This window comes from Homo sapiens, chromosome 8, assembly GCF_000001405.40.
Source record: "Homo sapiens chromosome 8, GRCh38.p14 Primary Assembly".
NCBI classification, from domain to species: Eukaryota; Metazoa; Chordata; class Mammalia; order Primates; family Hominidae; genus Homo; species Homo sapiens.
Window position 1 is genome coordinate 139,944,892 of NC_000008.11, and position 12,856 is coordinate 139,957,747.

At 46.1% G+C, this 12,856-nt stretch overlaps 1 protein-coding gene across 15 annotated transcripts in view, besides 1 other annotated feature; it reads right to left on the reverse strand.

Moving 5' to 3' along the window:
* Nucleotides 1-12,856, reverse strand: part of TRAPPC9 (trafficking protein particle complex subunit 9) — a 730,855-nt gene that overhangs the window by 217,167 nt on the left and 500,832 nt on the right. The gene's annotated exons all lie outside the window — the stretch shown is intronic.
* Nucleotides 8,373-8,539: a silencer, noted in NCBI's record as "fragment chr8:140965559-140965725 (GRCh37/hg19 assembly coordinates)". NCBI's record gives its function as "represses an EF-1alpha promoter that drives an FKBP-Casp9 reporter gene in an ReSE screen in K562 erythroleukemia cells {active_cell/tissue: K562}" and the evidence as "EXISTENCE:reporter gene assay evidence [ECO:0000049][PMID:32094911]".

Here is a 12,856-nt window from a genome sequence, read left to right on the forward strand (position 1 = left end):
GTGGGCAGATCACCTGAGATCAGGAGTTTGAGATCAGCGTGGCCAACATGGCGAAACCCTGTCTCTACTAAAAATACAAAAAATTAGCTGGGTGTGGTGGCATGCACCTGTAAAGCCAGCTACACAGGAGGCTGAGGCAAGAGAATCACTTGCACTCAGGAAGCGGAGGTTTCATTGAGCCAAGATCATGCCATTGTGCTCCAGCCTATGCAACAGAGTGAGACTCCATCTCAAAAATAATAATAATAAAGAAATAAATAGTAAAACAAAAAAATAAAAAGGCAAAATTCAACTATACGTTGTTTATAAGTAAAGTACTTTAAATATGAAAACTTATGCAGGTTTGGAGTGAACGGATTGCAAAAGGCATCCTTTGCAAATAGTATGCTTGTATTACCATACTGGAGTGGTTATATCAACATCATATGAAATAGACTTCAAGACAAAGAGTATCAAAGACTCATCATTGTCCATAATGAAGTGAAGTGAATCCATTAGCAGGACATAATACTCACCAACATATGAGGATACAATCAAAGAACTTCAAAATACACAAAGCAAAAACTGACACAATTAGAGGGAGTCAGACAATTCCACAATCATAGTTGGAGGTTTTAAGATCCTGCTCTCCACAATTGACAGCACAATTAGCAAAAAAAAAAAAAAAAAAAAAAAAAAAAAACCAACAAAAAACAGTCAGTAAAGACATAAATGAACTGAACAACACGTGCAACTCCAGAGCTGGTGTGCAGACAGCACTACAGCAAACAACTTCAGGCCCACGTCCTCTTCCAGTGCATAAGGTGTGCTCACCAGGATGAAGCTCATGTGGGTCATGAGACAAGTCTGAATAGATGTCAAATGACTGAGTGATACAGAGTACACATTCGACTCTAGTGAAGGATGTATCTCCCTTGGTTGTTAGGGGAAATATACTGAGGTTTGCAATTTATTTTCAAATGCATGAACGAAATATGATGGACTAACAGATGGATAAAAAGGTGGATATAGTAATAGACACTCAGTAAAGGAATTATAGCAAAATAGTAGTGGTACAATCACTGCTGTACCCACCACCTAGATTTAACTTTGCTGTATGTTTAAAAATCTTTACAATTAAAAACATTTCTAAAAATCAACTCATTTTCTGAAATGGAAGACTTCTCAGAATCCTTAAGATACAAATGTGTGTGGAAATCCCCAAGGGGGGAGGTGGATATGCGGAATTTTCCAACTGATCTCTCTCAAGAACCAACCCCCACCCCTTTTAAGGAAGATCTCAAAGAAATCGAGGCTCAAAGACCCTCCTGGTGTGGTCAAATAGGCCCTAGCAGGCTTTATGCCAGGCAAACCTGATCTTTATTCTAATTTCACTGATTCCTCACTGTGGAATTACTTCATCTTTCTGAGTCTCACTTTCATCATCTGTTCAATGGGGCTAAAAATTGCATGCACTCAATGGATTCCGTAAGAACGAGGCATGGCCAGGTGTGTTAGAAGCCCTCGTCAATGGCTGGTATATAGCAGGCGCTTGAGAATCTACACTGACCCTCTCTCCCTTGTCCTCTGGAGTCGGGAGTGACATGCTTGGAGTTTTGCTTCTTTGCTCTTCCTCTAGCAGTGCTATTTACCATGAATGCTTATAGAGGAAAAGAAGCAGGAAAAGCAAGCATTTAGCAAGGTATGCCAGTGTCTCAAAGGCCAGATAATAAAGATGTTAGGTGGCAGCACAAGGGGAAAGAAGAGGCAGGTGAAGAGATATGAGAGTATCCGCAGAATTTTCTTCTAAAAAAAAAAAAAAGGCCCTGGCCAAGAGCAGTGGCTCACGCCTGAAATCCCAGCACTTTGGGAGGCCGAGGCGGGTGGATCACGAGGTCAGGAGATCGAGACCATCCTGGCTAACACGGTGAAACCCTGTCTCTGCTAAAAATTTAAAAAAAAAAAAATTATCCAGGCATGGTGGCGGGCGCCTCTAATCCCAGCTACTCGGGAGGCTGAGGCAGGAGAATCGCTTGAACCCAGGAGGCAGAGGTTGCAGTGAGCTGAGATTGCACCACTGCACTCCAGCCTGGACAACACAGTAAGACTCCATCTCAAAAAACAAAACAAAACAAAAAACCAAAAAAGGCCCTGGCTGGGAAAAGAAAGGTTTTCACACCCTGCGTAAGGAAATGGAGAGAGAAATGAGTTGGTAATTAAATTGCAGGGTTTCCATGCAACTCACCTGGCAAGTCAAATAAGTAGCGTGTTGTAGCAAGACAGGGTGGTATCATTAAAGAAATATTAGCATGATAGGGAACAGAGGAAATGAACTACACGCGCATTTCTTCTGCTATAAATATTCTCACACTTCAGATGCGAGTGAGGGATTCCCACCATTTTCATAAACCACCAGGTACTAATCTCCATCAACGCCACCAAATAGCATTTAACAAGAGATAATGTGGTTCTGTAGCCAGGGCAGGCTGCAGGAAAAGCAATGCTGTATTACTCAGCCGCCGGGAGCAAAGGACAGAAGAATGACAAACTAACCAGGACAAAGTATGAAGAAAAATAGACCTTTGTTATATATGCCAATATCTCCCTTGCTTTAATTTAAATAAGGCTTTGTTTTGTCCTTGTTGAAAAGTAGAATAAAGTTCTTATTCCCCTTGAAATCTTGTATAATTAAAAATACAGTATTAAGGGCCAGGCAAGGTGGCTCACGCCTGTAATCCCAGCACTTTGGGAGGCCTAGGCAGGTGGATCACCTGAAGTCAGGAGTTTGTGATCAGCCTGGCCAACATGGGGAAACCCTGTCTCTACTAAAAATAAAAATAAAAAAAAATTAGCCGGTCATGGTGGCGGGCACCTGTAATCCCAGCTACTCAGGAGGCTGAGGAAGGAGAATCACCTGAACCTGGGAGGCAGAGGTTGCAGTGAGCCAAGATCACACCACTGAACTCCAGTCTGGGCCACAAGAGCAAAATTCCGTCTCAAAAAAAAAAAAAAGAAATATGTGTGTATATATATATATAGAGAGAGAGAGAGAGCGAGAGAGAGAGAGAGAGAGAGTATAAGGGAGCCAGGAGAATTGACAGCACGGGATTTTGAGTCCAACAGACCTGGATTCTTGTCCACGTTCTGTCCACTGGCACTTGCATGGCCGTGGGAACATTACTGACCCACCCTGAGCCTCAGTTTCCTTATCTGTGGAGTGCGAATCATAAGCCTTGCATCACAGGGTCCTTGAGTATTAGGTTCACTCTTTCATCCGGGAACTACGTTGTACCAGGCACTGTTTTAGATGGAAGGGAAATAGAAGCGAACAAAACGAAGAGCCCTCCTTACACTGAGTGGGGGAAGATGGTTCATAAAACACACACACACACACACACACACACACACACACACACACACACACACTGTGACGTACAGATCCTAGCGTGTTCCCCATGACCCCTGCCCTGGTGTTCACACCCTCCCTTTTGTTTTTGCCAATATAACGGCTTCGCCTTGAGTAAGGAAAAGAGAATCCCAGGGAGCGCAGACAGCAAATGCTGATGCTCTAAGGCTAGAGGACATCTGGGAAGGTCAGAAGACATCAAGGAAGCCAATGTGGCTAAGACAGAGGGGCAGGCAGGAGAGGCCACAAATTACCAGGCTGGCCCGATGCCCTTCTCCCTAAGTTTTGTTCATTACGGCAGCCCCTTCCTTTAGGAGGAGCCCCCCACCCTACCTCCACCTCCACCTTCAAATGTAAAATTCTTATCAAGGTTTCCAATTACGGCAACCCTGATCTGGCCACAGGATTGGGGCTAGGAGCCAGGCCTCACGCACAGGTGCCCCCTTTGCAGCCTTTCCCATTATCAGGGTGAGCCTGTCAACCAAGCCTGCTCACCGAAATATTAAAAAGACAATAACAGGCCAAGCTCAGTGGCTCACACCTGTAACCTCAGCACTTTGAGAGGATGAGGTGGCGGATCACTTGAGGTCAGGAGTTCGAGACCAGCCTGGCCAACATGGGGAAACCCTGTCTCTACTGAAAATACAAGAACTAGCTAGTGTGGTGGGCGCCTGTAATCCCAGCTAATTGGGAGGCTGAGGCGGGAGAATCGCTTGAACCCAGGAGGCAGAGGTTGCCGTGAGCCAAGATTGCACCACTGTACTCCGGCCTGGGAGACATGGTGAGACTCCATCTCAAAAAAATAAAAATAAAAAAGACAATAACAAACTAATTAAAACAGAAATTTCTGTGAGAATGATCACAGGAGAAAAAAAACCAAAGACACAAATAATAATATTAGGAATAAGAAAACCTGATTTCATTACAGGTACTAAGACTGTAAAAGGGTAAAAGAAAATTATGAATAATTTTTTGCCAATAAACTTTAAAACCTTAGATATAATAAAATTGAGAAATAATTCTCAAGGAGAAAACATGTAACTCACCAAAGCTGACTAAAGAAAAAACAGAAAACATTAAACGTGGCGTTACCGTATGACCCAACAATTTCATTTCTAGGAGACATCCGTGGGCAATGAGAACATTTCCATATAAAAACGCACACAAGAGCACACACAGTAGCGTCATTCGTGACAGACAAAAGGGGCAGCAACGTAAGGGTCCATCAATCGATAAACCACTAAATAAAATGTGCAATATCCATGTGATGGAATATCATTTAGCAGTAAAAAGGAAGGAAGTATTGATACATACTTCAACATGAATAGACCCTGATTACATTACATGCTGAGTAAAGCAGCCAGTCACAACAGAACACACACAGAATTCCACTTATATGAAATGTCCAGAATAGGTAAATCCATAGAAACCAAAAGTAGATCAATGGTTGCCTAGGGCTGGGGGTGGGGGAAGTGGAAAGGGGGAGTGGTGGCCAATGGGTAGGAGTTTTTGTAGCATGGTAGGTGATAGTGTTCTAAAATCAATCATGGTAACGGCTGCACAACTCTGTGAGTATCCTCAATACCAATGAGTTAACGAGCTGTAAATAGGTGCATCAAAGGATATGTTAATTACATCTCAATAAAACTGTCATTTAAAAAGAAAAGAAACTGTTATTGATTATACATGTCTGATATAAATAACTCTGCCCCACCTTCAACACAGACATCTCAGCTTATACACCACATCCTGCAGAACAAAGGTCTATAAAATCATTCAAGGTAGCACGGCACCCCCTAGAAAGTTTTTGTCCCATGATGGCGAGGCGAGTGGTAAGTCCAGCTTCAGGTGACCGTGGGGGAAGCGGGGCGTGTGGCCACAGGAGCCCAGGATAGATTGCTGGTCCACAGTCCAGGTTCTGCTTAGTCCTCGTCTATGGAATGAAGGCAACTTTCATCCTCAATGAGTTCTCATGAGGATTCAAAGTAACAATATGCACAAATACTTTTTACTTGGCAAACCGCGGAGCTCAGGCTTTTTATCGCTTGCCTACGAAATGGAAGGTGAACCTGTCAGCAGATGATGCCTGTCAATTAACAATGGTTCTCGCGAATTCAAGGCTGAGGGAATTGAAGTTCAGGGTGGTTGGGGAACTTGTCCAGAGTGGTATTGCTGATTTCACAATGAGTAAACCAGGGCTCAAGTCAAATCTGCTGTTGAACAGACAGCATTAAGCAAGATAACCAGTTGGCCGAGTTGTGACTTTCAACAGGATGAATGCTTAAGTTGCCGCTGTGAGGCATAACAGACATCATGTTGACAAGGCTGCACCAGCCAAGGGCCTTCCAAGAACTGGTGATAAAAGCAACAAACCAACCCCCAAACCTTAGAATGCTACAGGTATGAATCAGACCTTTCCCAAATCACCATGGGTTTCTTGATATAGTCCCAGAAATCAACAACTTAAACACTGGTGAAAACATTCAGCAACTGACAATTCAATTAGGCTACAAGAGCAGAAAAAACGGACTGATGTAGTGGTTGCACACCAACCAGTAAGTGAACACCAGCTCCGAAGGCCTCTTTGGTATGCACCAAAACACATGGCATGCGGCAAGAGGAGGCGCGGCAGGGAGGGAGCCGCACCCGCCTTACAGCCAAACAAATGAACTATAAAAGGGTGAGGTGAGTCAACCGAGGACAACGCCCTGCCAAACAGAGTGCCTCACCTGCTCACGGCTTGGAGTCAGCCAGACCCAGGCGCGCACATCCCCACCGCCACCTCCCCACCTGTGACACAGGCCTGGTTACGCCACCTCTCTGAGCTCCATTTCTTCCTCCTAAGAAGTTGGAGAATCACCCTGACACCTCACAGAATTGGTATGGGAAGGAACAAAGCCTCTGCCAACGCTCCTCACACAAAGCCCTACTCCTATAGGGGCTTGATGCCTGCAGGCCCCACCGTTCTCTTCGAAGTGGTCACAGCTGGGTGTCCCAGTGGTTAGCACACGAGTCAGGCCAGTTGGAGCTACTCATTTTTTTCTGTCGCCTTCCTATTCAAACCACTGAACAAAAACTGTGCCATGAGGGTTCAAGATGAGAAGAAATGTGACAGTCACGTTCTGCTGCCTGGGGGCAGGTGTCCTCACTGCCACCATCCCGGCCTTTGCCACTTTCCCCAGCAGACTGCTCTTGCTTGCAGACAAAGTCCTTGGATCTCCAGCACCTCCTCTTCTGTTCGTACCATTAGAATGTCAAGTCCAGAGGGCCAGAGGCACTACATGTCTGTTGCTCATGTAAGGAATAAATGCCCATTTTCTGCACAGGGCACTGAAACTTAGGAGAAGCTGTACCTCAAGCTGCAGAGTTAGAGGCTGGGAGGCAGAGGTAGGCCTCTGTTCTTCTCATTATGTGATTACAGATGCCGAGCTCACTCCACGCACCTCTGAGTCTGCACCAAAGGGCACTGACAGGACAGAAAAGGGGCTCACAGAGATCTTCTAAAGGCCAGAGATTGAATAGTGATTACTTAGTTGTTTCAAATAGAATGCAAGTGAAGAAAAACATGCTCTTGAAACGCTTAAGGCCAAGCAGCAGGTGAATATACCTTCTCATCACTGTGGCAATTAAGCATTATCTGGGAGGAAGGTGTTCTGGCCACCTAAATTGCCACATTCCAATCATTTGCGCATCAGGATCACACAAACATGTATTTTCATCAAGGATAAATTTTCTCTTCTAATTTCCTTCTTTCTAAGGAGTAAGGTGAAGGAAATAATCATCTCCTCAAGCTTAAAAGCTGAAGAAATACTTTACCTTCTTACCCACAACTTAAGCTGTTACTAACTTCAGTCTCAAAATGGCTCTTTTTCTTCCTTTTGCATTTTTGTGGCTAAAGCCCTGATCCACATTACTTTCAGAATTAGATTAATAGCAAATTGCATGCCAGACACTGCGTAAGGGGCTTTTGTATCCAGAATCCCATTTAATCTTCACAATAATCACAATAACAAAAGAGGAAATCATTTTATTATTATTATTGTCACAGAAGAAGGGTCAGGCTGAGTTCAGGTGACTTGCCTAAATCAAATGGTTAAACAAGTGAGGAAAGCATGGTGTGAACCTAGGTCTGTGTGACTCCAGGCGTGGTGCTTTCTATTTCACGGAACTTTTAAGGAAGACTAAAGTAGAATGCACCAAACAGGACCTGAAACAGCAAGACTGCACAGGAGCCCGGCAGCTCGGGTCACCAGAGGGCTCTCCCCGGGAGCAGTGAACAAAGGCCTGGGCAAAGAGTGTGCCAAGAAAAGGGAACAAGAGGATAGAAAAAAGACTCAGAGGTGAAGATCCTAGGATGCCTATGTTTGAGAACAAGATACTGCAAGACAAGGCAGGTCGCCAGAGGATGGGGCCGAGGGGTGCTGGTGGGGCACCTGGAAAGCAGCTGTGGCAGTCGACTCACACTGCCAGGGTGGTGGCAGCAGTGACAGTGTCGATGCTGTTCTCTACTGAGCACTTCCTCTGCACCAGGCACTGTGCTAAGCACATCACATCCATTCTCTAATCGGATTCTATAACAACCCAAACCAGCACATTCTATTATTAACACACTTTACAGATGTGGAAACTGAAGGTAAAGAGGTCAGCTAACTTTCCAAGACCCCACGGCTTGTCAGAAGCAGAGCTGGACTTGAATCCAAGTAGTCTGACTCTAGACACCAAGCCTGAGACGCAGGCCAAACTGCCTGCCACAGGAAGTAAGAGGATGGCTGTTTCCAGTGCCCTGGATTCAGAGGCAGAGGACACGATGGAATAATCAATTATCTACATGCAAAAACACCCACTTCGATCCACCTTGCACTATCTACAACAACTAACAAAATGGATCATTTTAAGATACGTAAAACCTACAACTATAAAACTTGTAAAAGTAGGCCAGGAGTTGCGGCTCACGCCTGTAATCCCAGCACTTTGGGAGGCCGAGGCAGGTGGATCACTTGAGGTCAAGGAGTTGAAGACCAGCCTGGTCAACATGCTGACACACTGTCTCTACTAAAAATGCAAAAATCAGCCAGGCATGGGGGCGCACACCTATAATCTCAGCTACTCAGGAGGCTGAGGCAAGAGAATCGCTTGAACCCAGGAGGCAGAGTTGCAGTGAGCCGAGATCGTGCCACTGCACTCCAGCCTGGGTGACAGAGCAAGACTCTGTCTCAAAAAAAATGTGTAGAAGTAAACATTAAAGGAAAAAATTTCCTAGAAAAGACATAGAAGACATGACTCCAAACTGATAATTGGACTTCATCAAAATTAAAAACTTCTCTGAGTGACGCTTGAAAAGATAAACTAGATTGAAAGTAAATACTTGCAAATCATAAATCTGATTAACAGCCTGTATCTAGAGTATGTGACGATCTCAAAATGCAAGAGTGACAAAACAAACAGCCCAACTTTATTTAAATAAAGGGCCTGAACACATACTTCACCAACAAAATCTACAGACGGCAAGCAGACATATAAAAATGCTTCATATGATAAAAATATATCACTATATACAATGATATCTACTCATGATCAGGGAAATTCAAATTAAAACCATAATGATATGCCACTACACATCTGTTAGAATGGCTAAAATGAAAAAGACTGACCACATCCAATGCTGCAGACGATGTAGAGAACCACTGATACACTGAACAGTGTGGACAGACCTCAAAATAATTATCCTGAGTGAAAGAAGCCAGATCAAAGAGGAATAGTACTGTATGATCCATCCCCATATTAATAGAACTCTAGAAAGTGCAAAGTTATCTGCAGCGACAGGGAGTAGATTGGATTGGTGGTTACCTGGGGACTGCGCCAGGGGTAGGGAGCGATGATGAGGGCACAGGGAAGCTTTTGGGGGTGATGAATATGCTCACTGTCCAGATTGTAGCAATGGTTTCTTGGGTGTAAACAGATGCCCCAAATGATCACAGTGTACACTTCCGTATGTGTAGTTTTTAGTATGTCAATTTTACCTCAAAAAAGCAGTTGTGATGGACTGAGTGACTGCGTCCCCCAGTAATTCATATGTTGTACGCTTCCCCTCAAAGTGACGGTATTAGGAGGTAAAGCCTTTAGGAGGTAACTATGGTTACGTGTGATCATAAGGGTGGGCCCTCAGGATTGGATTAGTGTCCTTATAAGAAGAGATGCCAGACAGCTTGCCTCTAGACCTGTGAGAAATAACTGTATGCAGTTTAAGCCACCCACCCAGTCTGTGGTACTTTGTTACGGCAGCCCCAGCAGACCAAGCTTTTAAAAATCAATATAAGCATATTCTAAATCATCTAAATGGCCATTTGTAAGAAGAAGCTGCGAGGTAATCTCAGGACCTGTGTTTGCGTTTGTGTCTTTGGCTGCTTGTGCAAGTGTTATTACCTTCACTGCCACCAGCTAACAATAAGGAACAAAGGTAGAGGTGCTCACGCCACTTGACACTCAAGTGACATCACAGCGTGTCAGTGAAGATTTGCCCTGGTTTGAATAAAGGCCAATGTTGAGAATACAGATCCACTCCATTGTATACACAGGCATGTTAAAATAAAAGGAGCCAGCTCTGCAGCTGTCCATATACGTTCACAATTCTACTGGCAATTTAGTTGTACCAAAACATCTCATCAAGTTAATCTGGTAATTTTATTTGTATTGGTCTTACAATTTGGCATGTATATAATTTGGAAAAGCGGTTTCACAGATTTAAGTATTATAAGCATAAGGATTCTGTATTTAATTTTATGTTGATGCATATTTAATGTTTTTATTATAGTACTGGTTACATAAATGGTAGGGATCAAGCACATTTTTTCTTGTGAAAGGGGTCGGATTTCAAAGCCTCTGCCACCAGCTGCACCAGCCATCGGCACCATCTGACCACCTCCTACCCTCACCTCCCCGTTTCTGGTAACAGTGATGAAGGAATGATCAGGGCCAGAAGGGATCCTGTAGGAGCCTCATGTAGGTCTTGTTCACTGGGTTCTTGAGGTTCAGTTCAGGAGCCTGATCATCTCCGTGTGGGTTCTTTGCATGCTGTGACACACAGCACCAGCCGCACACACTGCAAAAAAACCCTGGACGGACCCAGGGGCTCCTCCGAGATGGATCCAAGAGCAAACTTGGTTTCAAGCGCCCACGTTCAGCATCAACACGTGAAGCAAATACAACATTAAACAGCTCCTACTTATCAAAACTGAGAAAGGCTCCAACCCCACTGATGCAAATGCTCTAAGACAGGAAGGGATTTAGGCTCCCTCCCAGGCAGCCAGTCCAGAAACAGGCAATGCAGGATTCCTCGAGAACTGCACAATTGGAAGGAGATGAAAAGTATCTAACTGGAAAACAACAACAACAGCAAAAGTGGGAATGTGGGTCAGGACTACTGGAAATAGGAAATCCACCTTTTTCAGCCAGCTACCGACCAGACTCACCCCCAGTCTGAGTTTCCTGTTCGTGAGGGCTGTGCTAACATTCTGTGTCCACTAACGTCGAGGAATCCTCAAATAGGTCCCAGGGGCTTCTTTCCAAGAGAAACTGAAAGCTCTGCAGCGCTTCTGTGATGCCTGGTGTGGTCTGCCTTGCTGCCATCCAGCATGACTGCCCCAGTGCCCCGCCCTCCCTCATGCTCAACTATGGATGCATCTTGGCCCTCAAGACTGTGTCTGGGTCCTCGTTTCTCCCGCCGTGTGGCTGGAAGGGAGGCAGCTGGTTAGCACGCGGAGACCTGACGAGAGTGTGGCTGTGCCTAGAACCAGCTCCGATGCTCCTCGTTCGAAACACCCACCCCTGTGTGCACAGCACCTTGTTCTTTCGTGCATTTCACCCTACATGGGATGTTGTTTCGTTTTTTTTTTTCTTTTATTTTGAGATGGAGTCTCACACTGTCGCCTGGGCTGGAGTGCAGTGGTGTGATCTCGGCTCACTGCAACCTCTGCCCCCCGGATTCAAGCAATTCTCCTGACTCAGCCTCCTGAGTAGCTGGGATTACAGGCACCCACCACCACGCCCAGATAATTTTTTGTATTTTTAGTAGAGACGGGGTTTCACTATGTTTGCCACGCTGGTCTCAAACTCTTGACCTTGTGATCCGCCCACCTCAACCTCCCAAAGTGCTGGGATTACAGGCGTGAGCCACCGCGCCCGGCCCATGGGATGTTGTTTCTGAGGCATGTGTCTCCATCAGCTGCCAGCATAGCGTCTCCTTGATGTTGGGCCTACGCCTGACCTATTTCTCCACCCTCCACCACGGTGTCTCGTACATGGCAAATGCCTCCTAGGAATTGTTTCCAATCAGGACAGGCCCTTCTGATTGACAAGAAACAAAGACCTGTGTGCCTGGAACAGCACTGCTCAGCTCAGCAGAGCCTGGCGCCTGTGGATGCAGAGGGGAAGCACTGGCCAGACTGCTTCCATCCCGGCTCCGCGTAGACTCGTTGTGCCACCCCGGGCAGGTCCTATGCCTCCTACTCCCCTATCCCTACAGAGTGGCCTCCCACACCCTGGAGGACAAGCACCTCCTTCAGGCCGTGCTGAGGGGTGAATTCTGTGGTAAAAACACCCAGCCACTCTCTCTCAGTTAACCCACAAATCTGATGGGATTTCAGGAGCTGAAGAGGGGATGGGATGTCAGTGAGGACACCGGATAAGGCCCTGAGGTGCTTGCTGCCTTCGAGCGGGAGGGACACGGCTTCAAAGGCCACTTCCTCAGAGACAGCAAAATCGCATTCCACACAGAGCGGGCCCCATGCTCTGAAAACATATTTGATCCTGTGACATTTATAAGCCACAAGATTTTCCTCACAGGAGCTAAAAATAGCTAACACAGTTCCAATGAGTCCAACAGCCACAGCCACCCTAGTCCGGAAGCTTGGGCCAGCCCAGGCCAAGAGGGTTGCCATGGAAACAGCAGACCTGGGAGGGTGCCATGAGCAGGGAGGGCCGCGTACCTGCCCTGCAGCCTTGGGGGACTCGGGCGACTGAGGTGGCTGTCCTGGACGGGGCACGCTAGGGTGGGCGGCACCTATCGGAGGGGAACAGCAGGCAACCTGTATCGCTCTACGTGTAGCCTTTTCTTTTTAAAATAAATGAAGGGATGTTTGGCAGACAGCAAGGACTCTGGAGTCAGAGAGAGGCAGGGACAGCAGGAGACCTGTCACAAGTTGACTCTGGGGACCTAGGTAGGGCACGCTGTGTCTGGGTGTCCTCGGGAATAAAAGGGGGATGGCAACACCGTACCATGCCTTCTGGCGCCTGGCACGTGTGCTCAGTACACAGAGCTGTGCTCTCTCCACCTCCAGCTGTCCAAGCTTGGAGAGGCAGAGGGAGAAAGAAGCAAGTGTCACATTCCCTGGCCCAGAAGGCCCGGCACCAGGTGCATGCCATGCAGGAAACCCTCAGCCACAGCCGCAGGGGTGGCTCACTCGCTTGCTCAGG